The sequence below is a fragment of the Homo sapiens genome, chromosome 14 (genome assembly GCF_000001405.40).
Source record: "Homo sapiens chromosome 14, GRCh38.p14 Primary Assembly".
Classification (NCBI taxonomy): domain Eukaryota; kingdom Metazoa; phylum Chordata; class Mammalia; order Primates; family Hominidae; genus Homo; species Homo sapiens.
Window position 1 is genome coordinate 59,352,269 of NC_000014.9, and position 26,860 is coordinate 59,379,128.

At 38.8% G+C, this 26,860-nt stretch overlaps 1 protein-coding gene across 5 annotated transcripts in view; it reads left to right on the top strand.

Annotated features, from left to right (window-relative positions):
- The window catches only part of DAAM1 (dishevelled associated activator of morphogenesis 1), a 182,739-nt gene extending 163,602 nt beyond the window's left edge, over positions 1 to 19,137 (top strand). For 4 of the 5 annotated variants that reach the window (XM_005267431.2, XM_047431135.1, XM_005267430.3 and 1 more), the window contains 8 exons: positions 258 to 364; positions 1,608 to 1,696; positions 2,897 to 3,065; positions 7,129 to 7,236; positions 8,534 to 8,594; positions 11,383 to 11,514; positions 15,161 to 15,331; positions 16,382 to 19,137. In XM_005267431.2, the coding sequence (XP_005267488.1) occupies positions 258 to 364; positions 1,608 to 1,696; positions 2,897 to 3,065; positions 7,129 to 7,236; positions 8,534 to 8,594; positions 11,383 to 11,514; positions 15,161 to 15,331; positions 16,382 to 16,591 (1,047 nt within the window). In that variant the 3' untranslated portion in view covers positions 16,592 to 19,137. The remainder of the gene's footprint in view (positions 1 to 257; positions 365 to 1,607; positions 1,697 to 2,896; positions 3,066 to 7,128; positions 7,237 to 8,533; positions 8,595 to 11,382; positions 11,515 to 15,160; positions 15,332 to 16,381) is intronic. The other variant, NM_001270520.2, reaches the window with a different exon arrangement.

A 26,860-nucleotide genomic window follows, 5' to 3' on the forward strand; every position in this document is an offset into this window, starting at 1 on the left:
AGAACTCCCACAATTCTGATTTGAGAGGCAGTAGAGAACAGAAAGGTGCCAGGAATGAATCTTATACCCATTTAACTACTTCCAAGTAAAAATGAAAAGATTTAATCATTTCTATTGTATCTTAACCTGTGAGCAGAGCTTATACACTCAACAAGAGTTAACATTTTATCTTGGGACAGATTAACTGAAAGGGTGAAAAATTACTACATGGATTTAAGTGATAAACCTCAGTTTTAATATTCGTGTGTACTTTTCAGCTCTTGAAATTTGTTCCTGAAAAAAGTGACATTGACCTATTGGAGGAACATAAACACGAACTGGATCGGATGGCCAAGGCTGATAGGTTCCTTTTTGAGATGAGCCGGTGAGTTTGAAAATGCTGGGAATGTGAAGATGTCACTTCCCTTTCTAAGCTTCATGAATTTTCAATTCATGTTGAATTGTTTGGGCCAATTAACCTGGCTTAACTTGAAAGCTTTTTCATTCTAAAAATCTTCTCAAGTCTGAGTGATGTGGAATTTGTTCTGTTTATGTCACTTCTTGTCTATGGATGAGCCACGGTGAGGGTTTTTTCACAATTATCTCTATTTCTGGGCCCCTTTGGCCTTATCAAGTAATAACTTTTCTTGATTCCAGTCAGTATCATTCTCCTCACCAGTCTGATTTCTTGGGATAGTGTCTCATACTTCCAAGTAGCTTAGCATGGCAAGGTGGTTGTAAAACAAAAAAAAAAAAAAGAAAAAAAAATATATGGACAGACTCTGACAATGTCAGCCTCAAGCCCCCATAACTGAACAACCAGGGTCTAGATGTCAGATCATGACACATGCAGACATCACTAATCAATCATGGCACTCTTCCCACGGAGCCTTGGCAAGCTCTCTGAACCCTTCTCCAGAAAGCCCTGAGGCAGCCACAGCTTCGTAATTGGGTTTGGCATATGAGCTAAGTCGATCTGCTATCTCAGGCCTAGAAAATTGATTCCTCATTAGAGAAGGACCAGTGGTCCTGAAACTTTCAGTGAACCTCAGGGCACAGTTTTCTCCTTTAGGGGTGTAGAGAGGGTGCTCACTATGAAGACAGAGGGAGGTTTGCAGATGGGAGTGAGGAGAGGACAATGTGGGAAGCGGATGTTGGAGACCAGTTTTTACTTTGGAAAGTAAAATGGAAAGTTAAGAAATTTGGAATTTGGGAGAAGTGTACGGAACTGTCCTTTATTTGCAGTAGGGTATTCTTTACATTTTCATTCCCTTTTATCTCTTCTATGCTCAAAAGAGTTCCTGGGACTCTGAGGGAGGAGAGATGCGCTTCAGTCAACAGCAGCAGCAGCAGGCTCCCACTTTCTTTTAGCAGTTGCCTTGATGGGCGCTAAGGACTCTGCTGCAGTTGGCCAAGTAGCCCCTGTAGGTCAGACCAAAATGGGCTCTCCAGGCAAAGCTGGCTTAATGTCCTGTGTTCCTGTCCATGAGAACAACTAATGTATGTGTGTCGGGGGAGTGGGTGGGTATTGGGGGAGGTGCTTCTAGGTACCTCCACCTCCATATCTGTTATTAAGTGAACCTAGATATATTAAATGAATATCAATTAGTACATGTTTGCTCTTACAGAATTAATCACTATCAGCAAAGGTTGCAATCGCTGTACTTCAAAAAGAAGTTTGCAGAGCGTGTGGCAGAAGTGAAACCTAAAGTGGAAGGTAAAGTCAAGCTGTCTAGATTGGAAATGATGTTCATCATTACAACCCATTTAAAAGTGCAATCCAAGTGCATATAGTAAACAAGATCCCCTTGGTGATTTTTTTTTTTTTTTTGAGACGGAGTCTTGCACAGTTGCCCAGGCTGGAGTGCAGTAGCGCGATCTTGGCTCAGTGCAAGCTCCGCCTCCCAGGTTCATGCCATTCTCCTGCCTCAGCTTCCTGAGTAGCTGGGACTACAGGTGCCTGCCACCACGCCTGGCTAATTTTTTGTACTTTTAGTAGAGACGGGGTTTCACCACGTTAGCCAGGATGGTCTCAATCTCCTGACCTCGTGATCTGCCCACCTTGGCCTCCCAAAGTGCTGGGATTACAGGCGTGAGCCACTGCGCCTGGCCTGGTGATTTTTTATTTTATTTTTTGGCTCAAGGTCTTTCTTTTAAAATTCTGAGGGGTGATTACTTAAGGTCAGTGCTTGATGCACTGCCCTAGTCTCGGAGCTCACAGCACGCCTCCTGGGCTCCTCTACAGGGTTGGGCTTTTGACTACGAGGGTGTTGGTGAGGAGTTAATCTCACTGCTACTAGCATTAAACCTGTAATTAGCTTCCTCACAACAGAGCCTTAGTAGCTTTTTTAAAGGGAAGATTTGAGGCTGTTGTATGGTTTGATTTTTAAAATTTGTAAATGTTTGAAATGTGGGCAAGGCAACTGAAGAGCACAGCCACGGAACGCAGGCTGGAATCAGGCATCTGCCTAAGCTCTGATCCCTGTTATGACACCTGCAAGCTATGACATGTAACACATTTAACTAGTTTTCTGTCAGTGGAATTGATCAATACTCCTGTTAACCTGACTCACACCAGACAAGTAAGTGTTTGTAAAGAAATCTTGGAGATGGGATTGCTATTCTAGATATTCCTCAGTGCTTATGACTGATGAGTCAGCCAAGAAAGGCCTGAGAAAGGATAGGATTTTGCAGCTGTCTATGGGTGTTGGTAACAACTTGAGTTGGCTCTCCCTGTCCTTGTTCTTTGCTTCTGGTGTAAGCGTTTTGAAAGTGCTCTTGGTAACCCAATAACTCAGTCTTACATCTTCAATATCTGTTATTAAGTGTGTGAATTTAGAATGGGTATCACTGAAACATCTTGATTTCAAACAACGAAACACTTGGTAATCATGTTTTTATGTGTTTTGTTTTGAAGCAATTCGTTCTGGCTCAGAAGAGGTGTTTAGGAGTGGTGCCCTCAAGCAGTTGCTGGAGGTGGTTTTGGCATTTGGAAATTATATGAATAAAGGTCAAAGAGGGAATGCATATGGATTCAAGATATCTAGCCTAAACAAAATTGCTGACACAAAATCCAGCATCGACAAGTAAGTATGAGATCTTCCAACACTTGGGGGAGCCAGGTGTGTAGGTCCAGGCTCAGATTTATGCCTCTCTGGTCCTCCTCAGCCTTCATGACACTGCATTCTTCAGTTGGAACTTCTCTTTCTCACTACTTTCTTCCCTTCTCTGACATTGACTCTTCTCTAAACCTCTCTCATGACCGCAGGCATCTCCCACATTCCTGTTGGACCAATTATCCTTCATCCATTTTTGGTCCACTGGGACATCATCTGTTCTAAGTTTTGCTGTTGTTTTTGTTTTGTCCTGCCTTTTTAAAAAATTATTTTTTGTAAACTTTTTATTATAATATACTAAGAAGAGGTCAGTCATCACAAATGCTGGGCTTGATAATTTTTCACAAATTAAACACACCTGCATAACCAGCGCCCAGATCAAGGACAGAATGTTACCAGCACTCGACATCTCCCCATGACCCCTCTACAGAAAACTGTGTTCCACAGAAAAGAAAAAAACCGATAGTTGGTGTTAGAATATGAAGCTTTTGGGGTTTTTAGGTTGTGTTTTTATTTATACAGTGGAGGTAGCAACTATATTAAAAACTTATGTATAAATGCATTTTGGCTATTGATACTTAGTTGCTCATTGCAGGTCTCATTAAAATGCTTCCTAGAAAGTGTTCAATGCTGCATTTTAGGTGAACAGATTCTCATTAAAGACACCAAGATGTGAAAACGTTCTTGTGTCATTAACAGGGTAGGGTCATTAGGCATATTAACTTGAGTTTCCTTGAGAGCTCTGTTTCTCTGAGGTTCACACTGACTTCAAAGGAACTTGCACAATTGTTTCTAAGGTAAGCTTCTTCATACCCAAATTCTTTTTAGAAATATGGGCTGTTCACCCTAATTATTTCTAACTAATAGGGGCTTTTACCCTATATTTTCTATAGGGTTCGTGAAGCATAGTATTCTGGCAACCTTAAATCCATCCAAGAAGAAATAAGCAATGTGTTAATTTGTTGTTTTTGCATCGTGTAGAGATAGATTAATGAAGAGCAGCTGTTGTTATAGCCCTGCCACCTTATTTTTAATGTAAACACTTGATCCTTTTCAGAGCACTTTCACATTTGATTGTCCCACTAGCCTGTGAAGTACACAAGCCAAATACTGTTGTCACCTGTTGTCAGGTAAGAAACTGACTCAGGGTCAGGTGGCTCATTCAGCTTGCCTATGGTTACAACAAGCAAGGTATTCGGCCTTACAGGTATTTGACACCTGTGTTGTTGGTCCATCCACAGCTCTATTAGCAGCAGAAGGATCTTATTTGGAGGTTGAAGTAGGGAATGGAAGATCTTATTTGTGTCTAAAGAGCCTTTTTAAGGAAGGGCATTCTCTTCAACTGTACACACACAAAAGCAATCACCCATCCCCAATACTTACCAATAACCTGGCACTTACGTGATTATCTGCTTATTTACTGAGGTTACTACAGAATTTACATAAAGTACAAGCCTTTTCAAAAGAACAATCTGCAACTATTTCTGATCTTTCTGTTTCCTCTTTTTTTTCTGCCTTTAATATTTGGTCCCCAAATGCAGCGCCCACACCTTATACACCTGCATGCCTAGCAAAGTGCTTTGCCTGTAAGCAGTCACCCATGAACGTTGTTCAGTTGAATCTAATCAGATAGTGTAGGTGGTGGGACAGTCAGCAGGAAGGGTGCATTCACTCAGCATTGAAGGCTCAGTTACTGGTAATGAGCAGGGAAGAATCAAATGTGTGGCTGTTGCTGTTCCTTCTTTTAAGAATTTGCATTTAGTCAAATGAGGTATTATTTGGATCGCAAACAAATGAAGCTCAGGCATGGTTTTAAACCTTTCTATAGCAAGAAAGATGTGTATGGTTAATGCAATTAATTGAAATGTCTGTCAATAGCAAAGCATTTCTTTTAAAAAGTGAAAAAAATAGGCTCACTCTTCCTTGTGATGGCGGCTGGCATTTTGCTCACTCCTTGTACCCCTTAGGTAAGAAGTCTCTCAATAGCAAAGCATTTCTTTTAAAAAATGAAAAAAATAGCCTCACTCTTTCTTGTGATGGTGGCTGGCATTTTGCTCACTCCTTGTACCCCTTAGGTAAGAATCACATGGGCAGATGACAGGTAGGTTCTGTGAAGAGCAAAATTGAAATGGAGGCTGGGTGCAGTGGCTCACACCTGTAATCCCAGCACTTTGGGAGGCCGAGGCCGGAAGATCATGAGGTCAGGAGATGGAGACCATCCTGGCTAACGTGGTGAAACCTCGTCTCTACTACAAATAGAAAAAGTTATCCAGGCGTGGTGTCATGCGCTTGTAGTCCCAGCTACTCAGGAGGCTGGAGCAGGAGAATCGCTTGAACCCAGAAGGCAGAGGTTGCAGTGAGCCCAGATCGCACCACTGTACTCCAGCCTGGGTGACAGAGCGAGACTCCATCTCAAAAGAGAAAAAAAAAAATGAAATGGAAGGATGCAGCTGAACATATGAAAAATAAGTGGCCAAAATTGTTGGCCACTGTTTTGCTTTGGTGGGCAATTGTTTTCTAACTATTGAGAGACTGTGAGAAAAATAAGGATTTAAGGATTGCATTGTTTCTATGAAATGCAAGGGTAAAGAAAATTGTTTGAAAACTCTGATTCATTTTGGTTAGAGGTGAGTTGGAATACTGGGGTTTAGCATTGTGAATTAGCAAACTGCCTAAATTATGGAAATGTTTTTTAAAGGAATGTATTTTTACCCTCCTAATTCTAACTTCAACAGATAAGTAGTTCTTGATCCTGGTTGCTTGATAAAATCAACAGGGAGTTTTAAAGAATGCCCATGCCTGACTCCACCTCATTCCAATTAAATGAATCTCTGGGGTTAGCCCAGGCATCTGGAGTCCAGGTGATTGTAATGCGTAGCAGTCAGTGACAATGGGATCAGACCAACACAGTGTTGCCTAATAGATACTGTTATCCTACTTGCTGGCCTTTTCCATCCAGGTCAGTCAGAGTTCAGCCCTGTCACCACCAGAGAGGGAGCTGGCACAACCAACTGTTTTAACTACTAAGAGTTATGCAGTTAGGAGCTGAAGTGTTGCTAAATTAGGAAGTGGATTCAGGGCTGCTAGGATATCACATGGTGGCAGTTATGGCCCACTTCCAGGTTCAGCCCAGAGAAAGGGGGCTTTCTAACTTTCTGACCACCCTTTGGGTGAAACCTTATTAAAAACTATCAGTAGGCCAGACACGGTGGCTCACACCTATAATCCCAGCACTTTGGGAGGCCGAGGCGGGTGGATCACCTGAGGTCAGGAGTTGGGGACCATCCTGACCAACATGGTGAAACCCTGTCTCTACTGAAAACATGAAAATTAGCCGGGCATGGTGGCTGGCGCCTGTAATCCCAGCTACTCGGGAGGCTGAGGCAGGATAATCACTTGAACCCAGGAGGCGGAGGTTGCAGTGAGCTGAGATTGCACCACTGCACTCCAGCCTGGGCAACAGACCCCATCTCAAAAAAAAAAAAAAAAGTATCAATAATTGTCATCAGTGAGTTGCTGCTCTGTACTTTAGACTTAAGAATAGCTGCCCTTTTCGGTGGAATAAACATCCCTCACTCTCCACCCCACCCCACTCCACTCCACCCAAGCCTACTAGTTATAAACCTGCAGGGCACACCCCATTTTAGGGTGGATCCACTGGGAAGGTAAACTTGAGCTTGTCTCCACTGGCAGTGGTTCAGATTCACTTAGATCACCCATCACATTACCCAGATTTTGAAAGATGCTCATTATGGGCCACAAATGTAATTCTTATCCTCTTTTTAGAAATTGTGTGCTTTTTGACATATATCTATGCAATCCCCATGGAGGCTCTCCCATTATTCCTGTCTCTTGAGAATCCCTGCCTTACATGATCCTCCAAATTTTGAAGTTAATGCAGGTAATATAGCATTATTGTGGGTTCTACCATTTGAGCATATAAATCATATGCAGATATTAACTATTCATATATTTATGTAGTTTAAATGAAAATAATTTGAATGTTTAATACTCTTCCCTTCTTCAATTGTAGAAACATTACCCTTTTGCACTATCTCATCACTATTGTGGAAAATAAGTACCCCAGTGTTCTCAATCTAAATGAAGAATTGCGAGATATTCCTCAAGCTGCGAAAGTAAAGTAAGTACTTACAGTGAGTGTTAGTTTCTTAAATCACTTGGATTGTGTGTTAGCCATTGAGGTAGTTTGCACTGCATGAAGTCAGTCCTTCTATTTGTTTTCCCCTGATCATTGTATGAAATAAAGTTTGAATCTCATCCAAGTCACTCAAATGTATTACAAGGTTTTGAATATATGTTTGTTCTAGCTTCTTTGGAATACTGCATGCAATTTTTAACTTTCATACTTTTAAAGGGCAGGTGTTTTAAATACAGGTAGGAGCACCTTAGTTAAATAAAGATGCATGGCTAAGCAAATAGAAGACCTAAGTGTCAGAACATTGCAATAATTTTCACATATGCACACATACTCCCAGAAACCAAGGCGGCTCTTTAATGGGAAGCATTCTTTATGCAAATGAAGAAACTAAAAATAAAATGGAAAGTTGCCAAACTTTTACCACAAACTTCACACCACGTTTCAGAGACTGAGAAGCAGGCAATTTTCCTTGCTGTTTTTCCCTCCCTCTTTTGGCTCTTTTTTTAAAACATAAACTGCATCTTTTTGCAGTGAATTTGAAAAGTATAATGAGCAGGCTCATTTTTTCCCTCTGTTCATGGAATCTGGTGGAAATATACTAAATAAGGCATGAAATTAAATGAAGTATTGGTGAGTTTCTTTATATGTTGTAAATTATCTGGGAGAATTAAGTTTCAATCTCTAATGTTTAAAAGCCATGAAATAGAAAGTGTTGTGTATGGGAGAAGCCCAAGAACCTTTCTCTATTAAAAAAAAGATGAAAATAAAAACTAGTTAATACAACTTTAAGAAAAATCATTTTTGATTGCAACTTAAGCCATTACCTTGTAATAGTCATATTATTGGGGCCTTAGTGAAAAGCAGAACACTGATTATACAGAGTACAATGTGAACATGATTGCAGATGAACTTGTTTTCTTTCTGTTTTCAAAGGGAGCCAAGTATGGCAAGAGATTTATTTCTACATGAAGTAATTTGCTGAAGTGAGATTTTTTTGAGTTTGAAACATAAAATATTTTTGTACAGATGGAAGATATTTCTATTCTATTTTTAACCTGTAAAATATACCTGCTGGCTACAGAAAACAAACATAATTTTATACCTACATTTCATGAGTTTAAAATACTGTTGTCTTTCTTTGAGATCTGAGCATGGAAGGGAATTTTAAACATTTAAATTAAAATAGGATGGACTTCCAAGCGTGAAATATTTAAACCCATCTTATATTTAATATGTGTAAGTCACATGTTGATTGCTAAAACATTGCTATTTACAACAGCATGACTGAGCTGGACAAAGAAATAAGTACCTTGAGAAGTGGCTTGAAAGCAGTAGAGACAGTGAGTATTTTTTTGTTGTTGTTCTAATTCCTGGTCTCTTCACTATCTCTAGTGCTGGTGGTTTTCAGCAGATGGGTTGTGTTGGCATGTGGTATGCCCGGGATAAACATTTATTGATTAAAAAATAAGAACCACCACCACAAGAAGCAAAGGCAGGTTATGTTCAGCCTGGCAACTTGATTGCAGGCAGCAGGGGTCGTGGATAAGTCACTGCAGCAGGAACTGGAAACTGGACCTAGTGTGCCACCAATTTATCTGTAAGGCAGGATTCATCAGGATGAGTGGGCTGGGCTAGATGATCTTCAGGGACGCTCTCAGTTTCCAAGTGCTGCTAATATATGGTGTTCACTTTCGGTAGAGCAGTAGAACTTCTCTGTAGAACTTCTCAGTTGTTTTTGACTTGGTCCTTTGGGGAGTATTTACTAAGCAGACAGTGTAGTACATGCTCTAGCTGAGGGTCACGATGACTCAGAATCCTTGTCCTCCAGGTGTTGCAATAATCGGAGCAGCCACTTCCCTCAGCCTGGCCGCATCCAGATAAGCAGAGTGATTACGGAGGTGCCTTAAGGAAGCAGCGGGTTGAGGGTGCTTTGGAGGCATGAGGAACAATTGGCCCCTATTGGAGGAAGCTTCTCTTTTGGAAAAGAAGTTGTTTGAGCTATGGCTTAAGAGGGTAGGGTAAACTTAGGTGCATAGAGGGAGGTTATCCCAGGCATACAAGACAACCTGGGCCCAGGCCTCTGAGGAAGGAAAACCAGTCAGGCTGGCAGACTGGACCTGGTAGGATGAAACGTGCCTGTTGGCACAGTGCCCTGCGGGTACTCTGCAGATGCAGCTGCCAGCGAGAGAGGGGGCAGGGATGAGAACAGGCTGGCAGAGTAGCGTCCCTGGTGTCTGTGCTCAAAGCAGCCATAGCTTGGGCCTGCTCTGGGTGAAGGAGACGGATTTGCAGGCAGCTTGGAAAGGTGCCTCTCATAAGTATCCTTCAGATCATTTATCAGTAATGCTGTGAGGACTCTCCCTTCTTTTCGTTTTTGAATCACAAAACTGCCATAGAAAGTAGTTGAATTAATTAAAGACATACCTCTAATAAAAATTAAAGTCACAATGTCTAATTTTTTTTTCAATAAATTAAGGAGCATGTGAGGTTTTTTTCCTTTTTTTTTTTTTTTAATGTAGGGAGTAGGGGGCAGTATTAAAAAAAAAATTCTACTGATTGAACTTTTTCTCCCAGCCCCAGAGGGTCCATGGTCATTATGATGGCCCTAAAGCCTGGCTCTGACCCCTGCTTCTGAGCCAGGTCAGAGCAAGGCCTGGGGTGGAGGCTTCTGGGGAAATTTTGTGTTGTTGCTTTATTAAAGGATAGTTTTGCTGAAATCACTCTATCCCTTGGGTCATATACACTGCATCACACTTTTTATAGGAGAGGGGCTATAGAAGCCTCCCCTACCCTTGGAGGTGACGTAGTATTGTAAGAAAATAGTGGGGGCAGAGCTTCGCCTGGCCAAATATATATGTGTTCTAATTGTGCTTTACACAAATTAATTATATTGTTTGAAGGTATCAAAGATGAATATTTATGAAATTATACATTAATGAAACACTTTCAAATGCCTTTCCCGTCCCCACACTGAACACAGATACACTCACTTTCCAAGCTAAAGTACTGGAATCATGGCAATTTCTTCCAATCAGTGCCAGCTCCATAATTGATGAGTTTTCACTTCCGTTATTTCATTTGAGTGTAGTGATGATGTGGATGTTGCCCTCTTACAAAAAAAAAAAAAAAAATCAATAAACTGAGGCCCAGAGCAACATGCCATGGTTAAGAACCAAATCAGTGGTAGAGCTGAGTCAGAACTGATAAACTGTGATGACTACGCTCCTGCTTGTGAAGATCTCTGCCAATGCAAGAAAATAAGGGAGAATCCAGTTTAAGTCAATTGGTATACAACATAGTTATTACCAAGACTCTGGAGTCAGGCAGGCCTGAGTTCAAATTCTGGCTCTGTCACTGGTCAGCACTACTTCAGGGCAAGTAATATAGCCCTCCAAACCTTAATTTATATGTTTGTATAATGGGAATAGTGATCCCTCACTCATAGGGATGTTGTGAACTTTAAATAAGAATGTGCATCTGGCAATGATTAAATTAACCATTAACATTAGATTTGAATCATCTGCGTTCATTGCTGTGATAATGGAAATATGGATAATTAACAAGAGACTAATTCCCCTACAGGCCTGTTCACAAAAACCAATATGGTATGGACAAGAGAAAAATGGTACATTATGGTGCCAAATGCTACAGCCAAAATTCTACTACCCATATCCCACAGTTTAAGAAGTAAATAGACTTGGCTGAGAGGGAAAGAAAAAAATCAAGGCACCACAATTCTAAGCATGGAATATTGACAAGCAGAGTCTCTTGTTTTCACTCACAAACCCTTAAAATTCAGTTTGCCCCCATTATTTGTTTAACTTCTATTAATTTTATCCAAATGCAAATCTGCTTGCTTTCTAAAGCCTGAAAGAGAAATCACATAGATCAAGTACTTAGATTGTTGGTAAATTGCTATTTGCAAATATGCGTGTGCACATGGGCATGGCTTTGGCATGGTGGGAGGAAGGGCAGGGGCACTAGAGTATAACAAAATGTTTTAGAACAAGTTTTGATGTGTTTGCCATTCTGATTTATTAAATTTAAGGCATGTGAAATATGAGACGAGGTGTGTCTCATGTCTGTATTTGAAGCCTGCATTGACATTATTCATTTCCTGTGTTTAAGGAGCTGGAATATCAGAAGTCTCAGCCCCCACAGCCCGGAGATAAGTTTGTGTCTGTTGTCAGCCAGTTCATCACAGTAGCCAGCTTCAGCTTCTCTGATGTTGAAGACCTTCTAGCAGAAGCTAAAGACCTGGTAAGTTTCCCCCTTGTGCACTGAGTGTTGTTTGACCGGGCTGGGCTTCAGTGTGATACTTTCAGTTATTATTCTGTACGGGAAATAGCAGGAGTGAGATCCAAACTTCGTGGTGCAGGAAATAAAGTAGTAGATAATTACTTTCCAGATTCCATTGTTTTGCATGACATAGGTGTATTTTCATTTCCAAGACTGTGATTAATCTGAACACACCCTTTTTGTCTGACTGGCCTATGTTGCCTTTAGGTTAGCAAGACCTTGAAGGCTCTGAATGGTATAAGACCAGCAAATACTTTGACAGTTTTCTCTTGGTTGAAACTGGCTTGAAGTACTTATCTCTGGGAACCAGAAAAGAGTAGATGATGAAAACCAGGGGCAGCATCAAATGTGCAATCAGGTGTTACTAAAGCCATGTGCCTAAATTACCTCTATGTTGTAATATGCTCATCTGAGATACAGCCTTGGAGGACAGGATACTACCTGTATAAATCTCCAGCAGAACTCGCTAAAAGAGATGCATTTTAATTCACAGTCTCATTACAAGAGGTTTTTTTTTTTTTCAGTAAGACATTTATTTTTATGATTTCTGCTATTTCACATTTTGTGTTCCCTTGGAAGAGAAATTTTTGTTGGTTAATAACCACCACCTCTTAGCTCCCTCAGCTTCACCTCACTCCTCTCTATCTCAGGTTGTTTCCTCTTCCAAAATGCATTCACATTCATATACAAGACAGGTACACAGTCTCTCATTTTCTATCCTCTTCTCATTCTTTATAAATGATATTAACACTCTTCCCCACCCCATTGGTTCTTTTACTCTACCCATCTCTCAGTTGCCACAACACTCTGAGTCTTTTGTTTCGAAACTTCTGTAAATGGATGTTATTTTTCTCTGGTCACCTGTTTGGTTGTAGATATGGATGATTGTTTATGTAAATGTACACACATACCAGTTAAAGTTCAAAAGTAGGCTGTTCACATGCATTAGCTAATCTCAGCATTAAACCTTCTTTCTAACCTTATAAAATAAATGGCAATATATGTTCAAATGGCTGCTGTCAGAGGTCCAACCTCTGATATCCCACAGTGGAAATCAGTCAACTCATGTCAGCAACCACCATTCAGACCTCCACTGTGAAAGCCCCCATCCATGTTTTATGTATGCCTCACCACTTTAGAGTTTGTGCTTCATAAAGGAAGAGACTCCCCCTGTTCTGATATCCCACCTGAGCAATATAGCACCTACTTCATCAAGGGGCTCAAACATTTTTGTGTGTGAACTGGCTGTTGTCAGCTTGTTCATCACAGTAGCCAGCATCGCGCTTCTCTGATGTTGAAGATCTTCTAGCAGAACATAAAGACCTGGTAAATTTTCCCCTTGCACACTGACTGGGGTGTGTGTGTGTAGGGGGTGGAACTTTAATCTGGGCCTGGTTTTCTTTAGATTTCTAAGATTTTGATATACATGACGTCATGATCACTAGAATTCCTTGATAAAAAGATCACTCAGGATGGCTTGAAGTATGTGAACTTGAATGTTTTAGAAATCCAGTTGTAGACTGGCTATTGCTATTTTGTTCATACCAGAACTTTTATAAGTTAGCATATAAAACCATGGAGCAAGCTAGAACACTATATATGGCGTCTGAAGAATGTTATGTTTTTGCCCAAAGAACTCTTTTCTAATAGAATATTTCCAAATAAGTAAACATTGAAAACAACTCCTCAGTGAAGACAGAAATGGTAAAAAGGACACTTTTGTTACAAGTTTAAAGATATGAAATAGTAACTGTAAAATATATATAAATATAAGCCAATACTTGTTTTATTTAAAAATAAATGTTGAAAATATTTAAGGTAGATGGTATTACTGAGATATCAGAAGAATCTAACAATATAACAAAGGCAAGTAAAGCAATAAAAAAACCAATTATAAGCTGTTTGGGGGCACTGCATAAACACAGCATGGTCTAAATATGAAGAAAACTTAAAATCTGGAAAATGTTAAGTAGTTGATTGGGCGTAGGGAAAAATGTATTTGACTTTGAAGCTAGGAACACTATCCTTAGTAGCTTAGGAGTAATAACATTAGATCCTTACAGAAGGAAGTATAATTTTAACAAACAATTTGACATTGAATATTATTTGGGTAGTTATAATAATGCTAAGACTATTGAAAACATACTATCTTGAGTTATGGAGATAACCCCTGGAAGAACTAAAAAGAGACTGGATATACTATTGTTACTGTATACATATATTTTTATTTAACTTTAAAAATTTCTTGGTATTTTGCATTTTGGCCATTTAAAAAGATTGACACTGGGGCATGGTGGCATGTACCTATAGTCCCAGCTACTCAGGAGGCTGTGGCAGGATCACTTGTGCCTAGGTGTTTGAGTCCAGCCTGGGCAATGTAACATTGCAATACCCCATATCTTTTTAAAAAAAAATTTTTTTTAAAGATTGGCATTGAAAGGGGTTCTAAAGCAAAGAATTTGGAATAAAATTGTATTCTCAGTCATACACTTTGGGTTGCATTAAAGATTCCATACTCAGTTGCTGTTTTCTCACTGAGACCCTGAAAATATCTTAACAATAGCAGCATTATTTGTGATTGGGAAAAGCAGCTAAGAGGCACTGGCTCCCATTTGCTTTCTATATTGACCATATGGCACCAGTAAATGATATTAAACTACTTCAAAGACAAGTTAAAAGTACAAGTTTCCCTCCCCCTGCTGAGTTTGCTATTAGTTTTATGTCTAGGGTGCTATACCCTACAATATTTTGTTTTTACTACTGTTTAGTTAATAAAAAGTCATAGGAGGTCATCATACATGTTAAGCTCAAATGAGGTAGACAGGAATAAATGGTTTCAAAAGCTGAGGAGTATTACAATTTTTACTTTAGAAATGATTAATAGACATGTTCAGCAGCTGAAGATAAATATAGGCTCACTAAAATCCATCAGTTATATTTGACTCAGCCGGGTGCAGCGGCACATGCCTATAGTCCCAGCTACTCGTGAGGCTTAAGAGGAAGGATTGCCCAGGAGTTTTTGGCTGTATTTTGCTGTGATCATACCTCTGAATAGCCACTAAACTCCAACCTGGGTAACATGTAAGACCCCATCTATTAAAAAAAAAAAAAACTAATAACATATGCATTCCAGCCTGGGCAACATGTAAGACCCCATCTCTTAAAACAAAACAACAAAAAAAAACTGCCGGGTGTGGTGGCTGAAACCTGTAATCCCAGCACTTTGGGAGGCCAAGGTGGGCAGATCACCTGAGGTCAGAAGTTGAGACCAGCCCGGCCAACATGGCAAAATCCTGACTCTACTAAAAATACAAAAATTAGCCAGGCATGGTGGTTTGTGCCTGTAATCCCAGCTACTTGGGAGGTTGAGGCTGGAGAATCGCTTGAACCCGAGAGACAGAGGTTGCAGTGAGCTGGGATCATGCCACTGCACTCCAGCCTGGGTGATGGCGAAACTCCATCTCCAAAAGAAAGAAAGAAATAAAAATAAATGAGCAAACAAAACTTACGTTTGACTCAATCTGGGCTTTGGTCTTTCTCAAGTTATTTATATTTGATTGTGGAATTCTCATGAAACATTGACTTCTTAAAACCATCTTTTTCCTAGTTTACTAAAGCAGTGAAGCACTTTGGGGAAGAGGCTGGCAAAATACAACCAGATGAGTTCTTTGGCATTTTTGATCAATTTCTTCAAGCTGTGTCAGAAGCCAAACAAGAAAACGAAAATATGAGAAAGAAAAAGGAGGAAGAAGAACGTCGAGCTCGCATGGAAGCTCAGGTGAGAGGATGATTAATTGACCAATTCCACCTCCTAGAAGTTCTATGACTGCAGCCCAGTCAAAGGTATTTAGAGAGCACTCTGACCTGGCAGGAAGGAAGGCTTCAATGTACTCTCTAGAATGCTGTGGGACTTTACATTGGTGTTGTTTCTCTTGGGCTATTTAACAGTGTATATTCAAAGCCTTAAAAAAAAAATCTATCCACATCCTTTGCTCTGGAATTCCATTTCTTAGCAATTATTTTAAAGAAATAATCATAAATTTACACAAAAAAGGGCAGCATTCTTTATAATAGCACCAAGCTAAAGACAACCTAAATGTTTACCAAAAGGGGATGAGTTCTAAATGATATAACAGCCATATAATGGAATATTTATGCAGTCCTTGAAAGACATGTATTCAAAGAATAATGATACAGAAAAAGATTTCTACATGAAATCTTTTTCTGTTTTGTTTTTTAAGGTGTGTTAATACATATAGAAAATAATAGTGGTGTGATAAACCTTTAAAAAGTTCACAGTAGTAGAATTAAAGATGTTTCCCCCACCTTCCTTTTATCTGAATTATCCAAATTGTCTACAATGTGTATGTATTAGTTGGCTTTTAATAACAGTAACTATTGTGTATCAGGTTTCAGGCTTCCACAGTAGACACAAGCTAAGCCTTTGATATAAGGAAAATGGCCTGATGACCATTTGCTTTAGTTATTTGGGGTCTATGTAATAGTGATACCTTTTTTTTAATTTTCATTAGCAGAAACACAAATTGCCTCAATTGCTCTTATTTTAACTAGAATATCATGCAGTTTACCTAGAATCTAGGTGGTGAGGGTCTAACCACAAGGGAGTGGTTGTTTTTTGTTGTCCATTGCTCCTGCAATGGAGACCCCATGTTCCAATTCCCCCTTTCTTGTGATATCCAAAGGGGGTTATAGGATGAGCATAGCTTGGTGTCTGGAGCATTACCATATTTCAAGGAATTGACCTCTACTGCAAACAAAATGCAACATTTTGACATGTCTCAAAGAGGTTATTTCTTTCTATTTGCAGCTCAAAGAACAACGTGAAAGGGAACGTAAAATGAGAAAAGCTAAAGAGAATAGTGAAGAAAGCGGAGAGTTTGATGACCTTGTTTCAGCTTTACGCTCAGGAGAAGTGTTTGACAAAGACCTTTCTAAATTGAAACGGAATCGCAAACGTATTACCAACCAGATGACTGACAGCAGCAGAGAGAGACCAATCACAAAACTTAATTTCTAATTTTCCATGAATACTTTTTTTTAGAAAGCTCATTAGCAGCCCTCTAAAGTGACTAGAACGTTTCATTACACTGCCTTGCAATCCAAACAGTGGCAATTTTTTCCTTCATCTGTGAGTGAATGTGTGAACGTGTGTATGTAAATGTATGTGTGTATATATTAAAAAATGTATATAGATGTCTGAGTGTTGTCTGGAGACCTATACGTATGGTTAAAAAGATTTATGTTAATGTATGTGCTCCAAAACCTTTCGTGTATGCATTCACATTGAGTGTGGCTCATTTTCTTTCCCCGAACGCCATGACTGTTCAGAAGCACAATACTATCTCCTGAAAGAGATAAGAGACATTCCCTAGATTCAAAGGCAAAACAGAAGAAACAAACAAACAAACAAAAAAAGCTTGCAAAATATTTTATGGTTTCCAAGCTTGATATCCTTTAAAATTATTTTCATTGATGGAACTGGAGTTGTTGGAAAAACATAGATTTAAAATGATTTTTGATAGCTGACATTGTGATGTTGATGTATCACATCAGTAATAGGACCAGCTTTGAATTTCTGACATTGGTGTGGGGATACAGTCTGTAAATGTTTATTGAGAACATCTTGCACACAATTTGAATTATGTAGAATGTCAATCAAGTTTTTGTATATTTAAAAGTTGGACATCAATTTTTTCCCCTGATTTCATCAAGTTATCTCTGCCAAGTGCTCTTGATAATTTCTTCAGATTTTTGGAAAAAAACACTATATAAATGCAATCCATGCTTTTTTTAAAGAACAACATTGCCAGAGTATGCTTGTTCTAACAATATAGATATATAAACCTTAAAAATAATAAAATATCTCACCCAAGACTTAAAGGAAGAATTCTCTGAAGGGATAAAGATTACTAAAAAAAAAAAAAAAAAAAAAAAATTAATGGGGTGCCTTTTTGTTATAGTTTCTATTTTCTGTTTTGTAGGACAAGCTGCATTTTCTGTAAATATAGGTCTGGACTAAAGGATACATAAAGAATGCACAAAATGTCAACATCAGCAGAGATGCCCAGATCTATTTATCTCTAAGTATATTTGAAGTGATTGCTGTTTATATGTTGTCATTTTAAAATTGTGTGTCAGTAAAGCTACCTGTAAAATTTCAGTCCAAAAAAATAAAGCTCTCAGGGAGACATGAATAAAATCAATGAACATTAGAAAATAAAATATAGATGCTTACCATTAACCTACCAACTCTTAATATCCTTAAATTATGTGATATATAAAGAGGACTGTTACTTTTTTACTTTTTTTTTTTTTTTTTTTTTTTTTTGGCTTTGCTTTATTTATTTGTAGTTGGGGGCTAACGTTTTCTCTTTTCTTTCTATTGATCCTGTTGTGGTTGGGTTTCCTGTGGAGAGAGTAGTTTGTCCTGTTGCACTAGAACATTATTTACTCACTAAATTGAGTTTTTCAGTCAATTAACAAATATTTATTAAGTTCCTACTATGTACCAGGCATAGTAGGGCTACAATGGTAAGCAAGACAGAGTCCCTGCCCCCAAAGAGCTTATATTCTAATGGGGATATTAAGGGATGAATAGAATACCAATGTGTGCACTGTACAGGAATCATACTATTTAAAAATAATTTGTATAAACTATAATGCTTAGCACAGATGGCGAGTTATCTGTGCTATGTGAAAGCTGTGAAATAGTGCTCTAAGAGTTGTCAAGAGCTGTGGTTTTACATCTTTTCCTCATTGCAAATTTAGTGACTTTCTACACACTATATGGAAATAAATGACTAGCAAATAAAACAGTCATAAATACAAAGCAGAGGTTGCACTCCCCCAATCCCGAGTTAACCCAGGTCTGCAATAACACCATGTTAAAGGTGCAGATAGAGACTTGGCTCAAAAAGGCTTGGAGATGAGGAAGATTGGAATATAATGATGGTTTTGTCTGTTCCTTAACTAAAGTGCCTCTATGTATATTCTTTTCTATTTGTAGCAGGATAAATTTGGTCTGGCTCAGTTTTGGAACTGTATTTTGAAAATGGCTTTGTCTTACAGTTTAAGGAATAGACAGGTGGAGGGAAAGTCACATAAAGGAGCAAGTTTGTGTAGCTGTCCCTCTTGCCCCTTTTAATCATCCTCCTTTGATATGGCCATCCTGGTGGGCCTCCTTTGCCATTTCCATTTTTGGTTTCTTTCCCTGAAAACTGTGTGCAGGTAATTCCATGTGCCATTGTTGAAAAGAAAAAAAAAAAACAAAAAAAAAACCTACTTTTTAGATTGGTGCTGGTGTAAGTAGCCACTTTTCTCTCTTGGGTGTGTATTTTAAACTTTTTTTGTTTTTTTAAATTAATGCCAAAAAGAAAATGCATAATTTGTAAACTTAATTATATGTCTTATATCTTATTAGCTTAGTAGTTGGAACCACTTAGTCTTTAGGTGCAAGACTGTTGTTAGATAGTACTGAGAAAAAAAAAGTATGTGTTATGAGACTGTACATGTTTTTTTAAAAATAGCAATATGCAATAAAGAGATGAATTCATTGGGTGTACATATATGCTTTCTATGAATTATTAAAACAGTGTCATCAAACTGCTTTGCAGTTTCCACCATTGAATTTCAATTTTGCAAATTGTTCACTGAATCGGAAATATATACCTGTTTTTAAACTTGTACTTACTGGACCTAGAAGAATATAGTTTTCTATTATGGCAGCATTCAGTATGTTCAGGTTATCATATGCCACCTCTTTCTATACTTGGTTTATGTATGAGTTATACAATTTCTTGTTATAACTCATGTATGGTAGGGCTACTGGTGAAATTATTCAACTAGAGTAGAGAAAATAATCTCTAGTCTCTAGAATCAAAGCCTTTTTGTTTTGAGGCATGTTTTTCTTATTAAAAATTAACTTGATATGGGTCAGTATGGGAAATGGCACCCATACAGATCAAGAAATTTGTTTATCAGTATCCTCTGAAAGTTGAAGCTTTCCCTTTGTCCTACATCACATTTGCTGCCTAGCCACCCTTAGCTCAATTTAAGTTCACGTTGGAAACAAACTGCCCCAGTGACTGATAAAATACCCAAGCAGTCCAAACACTAATTCTTATCATCTTTGGAATGAACTCATGATGTTCTTGTAATAGCTGACCATCTTGTTTTTTATCACCTCACTGCATGGCTTCATAGTAACAACGTTCTGTGGAGCTGACACTCAGATAGGAGAGACCCTTCTGCATGTTAGACAAATGTTATATTCCCACCCACAAACTCAGCCACTGCCTATTTGTATATTTGGGTATGGAATTATGTACAGAACCACCTAGATCCTCAGTTGACCTTGGTGTATTAATAGAAAGGGGGGAGAATGTGAAATTTTCAGATCATATGCTTCATTGTCTTCAGTTTCCCCAAAACAATGATCACTGAAGGAAATGTGCTTCTGACAGAGGGGTGAAGTTATGTGATCCATCCAGAACTTTGCCCCTTTTCTATAACCTAATGTGCATTTTTTTTGTTAGTCAAGGGATAACCTTTATTAAAATACTGTGCTTTCGACACAATTACAGTCATGTGTCATTTAACAAGGACACATTCTGAGAAATTGTGCCAAAAGCTGATTTCATTGTTGTGCATACATCATAGAGTATACTTACACAAATGTAGATAGCATAGCCTACTACACACCTAGGCTATATGGTATACAAAGCCTATTGCTCCTAGGCTACAAACTGCACAGCATGTTACTGCACTGAATAGTGTAGGCAATTTTAACAATGATATTTGTGTATCTAAACATATCTATAGAAAAGATACAGTAAAAATACCATATAAAACATTGAAGATGGTGCATCTATATGGGGCACTTACCATGAATGGAGCTTGCAGAACTGGAAGTTGCTCCAGGTTAGTCAGTGAGTGGTGAGTGAATGTGAAGGCCTAGGACATACACTACTGTGGGCTTTATCAACATTGTACATCTATGCTAGACTAAATTTATTTTTTAAATTATGTAATAAAACTTAGCTTACTATAACTTTTACTTTATTAACATTTAGTGTTTTGATTTATAATAACTGTTTAAAACACAGCTGTACAAAGGTATTTTCTTCACATCCTTACTCTATTAGCTTTTTTTGGTTTTTAACTTTAACTTTTTAAACTTTTTTTGTTAAAAACTAAGACATATTAGCCTATGCCTACATGGGGTCAGGATCATCAATGAGACTGTCTTCACTACGCATCTTGTCCCACTGGAAGGCTTCAGGAGCAATAACCCGCATGGAGCTGTCATCTGTGATAACAATGCCTTCTGGAGTACCTCCTGAAGGACCTGCCTGAGGTTGTTTTACAGTTAACTTTAAAAAAAAAATGAGTATACTTCAAAATAACACATTTGTAGTAAATAAACTAGTAACACATATCATTGTCAAGTATTAACGTACTGTTCATGTGGATGTGCTATAGTTTTATAAAACGGGCAGCTCAATAGCTTGTTTTATGCCAGCATCACCTCAAACACATGAGTAATGCAATGCACTACAGTGTCACTAGGTGATGGGGAATTTTTCAGCTCCATTGTAATTTTATGAGACCACCACCATATATGCAGTTCATGGTTGATTAAAACGTCGTTATGTGATGCATTACTGTGTTCAAAAGGCTGAGTTCTGGAAGGTAAAACTTTCTGTGACTGTTTTTGTTTTTTAATAACATCAGCTGTTTCCTATAAAGTGGAAAACCTAAATTTAGCAACTTCCAAGGCTTAACAGCTACTTGATACCATTTAGTTCCATAAACAATATCTTTGAGAACCACTAGACTATATAGAGAGAATTAAATTCAGGGGTCTAGGGCTTCTCACATGGGGTGTTTATAAACCATCACTGTGTTGAGTTATGTGCTTATTTTCTGTGTGGTCTATATACTGTTTTAAGTATCTATATCCCTGTTGCCTCTATTGATAATAACTGAAGTCTAAAAACCTGTTGAGCCTATAATTAAGAGATGACTTAAAATCTGAATTCTTTTTTCTTATTATTTTTATTTTTAAAATGTTTTCAGAGACAGTGCCTCACTATATTATTGCCCAGGCTGTTCTCAGACTCCTGGCTTCAAGCAATCCTCCAACCTTGGCCTCCCAAAGTGCTGGAATTACAAGCATGGGCCAGCGTGTCCTGCCTATGAATTATTTATGTTTGAGAAAATTTGGGGCCCATGGAGGAACAAGTTTCTTGTTTATAAGGATTTTGTGTTTTCCATAGCAAATACCAATCAGAATTATTTTTTATCTGAATCCTGTGGAAAATGTCAGACCTGCCCTTTGGTCTCTTCCCTAACATGCTTTTATCTACTGCAATCAACTGCATGTTTCCATGGTATCAAACAAACAAATGAGCACAGGACTGCACCCCAGGGTTTTCAGACAAAGGAGATCCTTATTTGTATCAAACCTTAATATGTTTTCGTTTTTCGTGGGAAAAAGTTTCCTACGTATGATTTTTTTCTATTTTGTTTGAATAAAGCATTTGTTTTTTATGATTCTCTTGCTCTTTTGCTGGGAGAAGGAAGAAAGGAAATGGTTTAATGGTACTGATTTCAGTATCATTATCCCATCTCATTCGCACCCATTATGGTCATGTGAGGACGTTTCTGGGCAAAGGAATCTGCAATCCCTCATGTAATCATGAGCATTTCTTGTTAATATCCTCACCATCACTTCCAGCGTAGAAAACCTTTCCTAAGTTAAATTAAGTTGAGAGCTACCCTGACTCTTCCAGGATGGGAGGAGGTGTCTGAAGAGATGACTGTGATGCTGAGCAAGGACACGGGAAGACAAAAACAGGGGAGGAGCCTGTAATCCTAGCACTTTGGGAGGCCAAGACAGGCGGATCACGAGGTCAGGAGATTGAGACCATCCTGGCTAACACGGTAAAACCCCGTCTCTACTAAAAATACAAAAAAATTAGCCGGGTGTGGTGGCGGGAGCCTGTAGTCCCAGCTACTGGGGAGGCTGAGGCAGGAGAATGGCGTGAACCTGGGAGGCGGAGCGTGCAGTGAGCCGAGATCGTGCCACTGCACTCCAGCCTGGGCGACAGAGCGAGACTCTGTCCCAAAAAAAAAAAACAAAAACAAAAAAAACGGGGGAGGAAAGGAGTGACTACCAGCAGCTTAGGAAAATCAGTTTGCCGGATACAAAGTTAATACATAAAAGTCTATTGTTTTCCTATTTACCAGCAAAGAAAAAGTAGAATTGAAAATTAAACATACAATACCATTCATATGAGCACACCACCAAAATGAAATACTTAGGTATAAATCTAACAAAATACGTACAAGATCTATATGAGGAAAACAACAAACCTCTAATGGGAGAAATCAAGGAAGAGCCAAGTAAATGGTGAGATAGTTCATATTCATGGATAGGAAGATATGATATTGTCAAGATCTTTTCAACTTAATCTATAGATTCAATGCAATTCCAATAAAATCCCAGCAAGTTACTTTGTTTTTATTGACAAACTGATTCTAAAGTTTATATAAATAGGCAAAAGATACAGAAAAGCCAACACAATATCGAAGGAAAAGAACAAAGTTGGGAAACTGATTCTACCCTACTTCAAGACATAGTATAAAACTACAGTGATCAAGACAGTGTGGTAGTGGTGAAAAAACAGACTAATAATATAACCCACAAATAGAACCACATAAATATAATTAATTGATTTTTTTAAAAAGGAGCAAAGGTAAGACTGGAGCAAATATAGTCTTTTCAAAAAATAATACTGGACCAACTGAACATCCATATGCAAACACAATAAAGCTAGACAAAGACCTCACATTCTTTACAAAAAATTAACTCAAAATGGATCACAGACTTAAACAAAATGACAAAACTCCTGGAGATAAGAGAAAATTGAAAATTTAGATGACATTGGCAGTGTCATCTGTGTTTGACAGTGACTTTTTAGATGCAACGCCAAATGCACAATCCATGAAAGAATTGATAAGCTGGACTTCATTAAACTTTTATGGCCTGCAAAAGACACAGTCAAGAAAATGATAAAACAAGCCACAGACTGTTAAAAAAATATTTGCTAAAGACATACCAGGTAAAGGACTGTCGTCCAAAATATACAAAAGACTCTTGAAACCCAATGAGAACACAACTCAATTTTTTAAAATGGGCCAAAGATCTGAACAGCCTCCTCACCAAAGAAGATATACAGATGGCAAATAAGCATATGAAAAAATGCTCCACATTATGTGTCATCAAGGAAAGGCAAATTAAAACAACAACAAGATATCACTACACACTCATTAGAGGGGCCAAAACCCACTACACTGACAACACCAAATGCCAGAGAGGATATGCAGCCACAAGAACTCTCATTCATTACTAGTAAGAATGCATAATGGTACAGCTACTTTAAAAGACAGTTTGGAAGTTTCTTATCAAACTAAACATACTCTTACTATACAATCCAGCAATTTATTCAAATGGGTTGAAAATTCATGTCAACACAAACATGTGCACATAGATGTTTATAGCAGCTTTATTAATAATTGCCAAAACTTGGAAGCAACCAAAATGTCTTTCAGTAGGTGAACTGATAAATTGTGGTACATCTAGACAATGGAATATTATTGAGTGCTAAAAAGAAATGACCTATCAAGCCGTGAAAAGACATGGGAGTCTTAAATGCATCTTACCAAGTGAAAGAAGCCAATATGGAAAGGCTGCATAGTGTATGATTCCACTCTGGAAAAGGTAAAACTAGGGAGGCAGGGAAAATATTAGTGGTTACCAGGGGACAGGAGGAGGAAGAGATAAGTATGAAGAGCACAGAGGACTTTCAGGGCAGTGAAAATACTCTCTACATGTCATCTTACATTTGTCCAAACCCATAAAATATATAACACCAAGAGTGAACCCTGATGTAAACTATGAACTCTGGGTGATAATGAGGTGTTGGTGTCGGTCCATCAATTGTAACAAATAGACAGCTGTGGTTGGGGATGTTGATAATAGGGGAGGCTGCACATGTATGGGGGCGGGAGGTATGTGGGAAATCTCTGTACCATCTGTTCAGTTTTGCTATGACCCTGAAACTGCTCTAAAATATAAAGTCTACTTAAGAAAGAAAAGTCCCAATATACATAGCCAAGAAACCTTCCCACCCAATCAGGCCAAGTCATCCTACTCCTTTGCACATACCGGCTGCCTCAGGTAAACTCCCTCTGGTAACTTTCCATGCTTTCTGCTTTTCCAGTTTATTCACATCTGGATATATCTCGATAAAACAGCTCTATGGGATGGCTTTTCACAATACTTCCTTGGACTTCCATGCAGACTGCCACCATTCAAGACATCAGCCCCATCCCTAAAACACTCTGATTAACTCTTAGACTAATAGGACCTTAATATTCATATCTTAACTTTTGAGGATCCAGAGGGAAGAAATAATAAGGAGGGCTTGTCACTAGTGAGCTAGTCACTCTCAAGCAGTTCAGATTATAAGCCTTTTGGATTTCAAGTTTAAGATAATTTTTGCAAGCTGACTGTCATTACAAGGCTCACAGGAAAAGACTTTGCTCCCTCCTTCTCAACTTCCTTCCTTCCCAACCTCCCTTTCTTCCTTCCCTCAAACCACCTTCATTAGTTACTCTCCCATCAGAAGACCTCATTATTAGGAATTCTCTTAAAATGCCTTTTACAGAAAACAGTCCTCTCTTTCTGCCTTGAATGTGAGCTATTTGACCCTGAAGAGCCGCAGCTGTTCAGTGGCCTGACATTTTTATGGCTGGTGAGTTCACACTAAAAGCTGGCTTCCAATGTCTGCTAGAGGCACTGCTAGGAGGGGGTCTTGCGGGCCCTACTATCTTTCCGGGCTCACTGCTAAAGAATTAATGCAATAGGGAGAGAATCCTCTGTCATGTAATGCTTGTAGGACAATTGGCATTGACTTCTCCCCCACTGGACTGTGTAAAGGAGACCTTGACCAATCCAGAAACTATCTACAGCCATTAAAGTACACACCACAAAAGGTGGCTCCCAAATTCCCATCTGCCTATTCTGTTGTCTTGCACCAACAGCTAAGCAACACACTAGGACCCAAGTTCCAGAGTTGTCTGTATTGCTATCAGACATGAGCTGTGACCCTCGGTCAGTCTCCCACACATCTTGGCTTCACACTTTAGAAGCTGGACAGAGCAGCCCTAAAACTTCCCATTGAAGGATGCTGTAGCCCTGCCTCTGAGGTTCTCAGTCCTTAGTTGCTGGGAATTTACTGCAGCCAACTCATTAACGAGAATTAAACAAACTGTTCTCATCACACTGTTTATCAGTTACAGCCAAGAACTCGGGCTTCTTGCCCTGGCTGTTTGGGAAGGGGAAAGGTGGAAGGGCAATTGCTTAGAGCACATTATATTACAGCAGTAATGAGGCTCATTCCAGGGTTTCCTTTTACCAGGTAGCTGTGGTAACGCTGATCCTCGGGGACTCATCTGGGCTGCACTAAAACCACAATGCCTTGATTTTGTCATAAAATCAATGTATAACATTAACATGGCTTTACCCTGTAGAGGCCGTTGTGGTGACCTAGGAAGAGTGTGGTTGGAAGAGGAGGAAGGAACAAATCAAACTAAATGGATGGGCCCACTGCTGTCCTCACTGGCGTGAGCACAGCTGGAGTGTTGTGTTCTCATGGATACCGTGTTCTAAGAGCAGCGCTGACAAATGAAACTGCATCCTGGTGAGCAGGTTTATAGACAGACTCAGAAGCATCTACTGACAAGAAACTTTTAGCCTGCAAAATAAATTATTACAAAAATATAGCAGCTGTTCTCAAATATTTAAAAAGAAAGAAAACGTATTCTGTATTTCACCAGAAGCCAGGGTGACAATCAATGGGTAAAAGTCACCAACCAATTGATTTCATTTTTTTAAGCCATAGAGAAATTTCAAACTCCTAAAATTAGCGATTGAACAGGCTGCCTAATAAGATACTGAGTACCCTTTCCTTAGAGACGTCCACATCTCTAGACTGAATGCCCAAGATGGGGTGACCATCTATCACATCAGGGATGTTGTACAAAGTTCAGGGGTATGTAGAAGTTTGAATACACAATTTAAAAAAAAAAACCTTTTTATTTATAATTTCAAACTCACAAAACATTTCAAAAATAAAAATAGCACAACGAACACCTTTTACTTTTCCAGATACACTTTTTTGTTCTATAGATAAAACTGATTTTTAAACTTGTATTCATT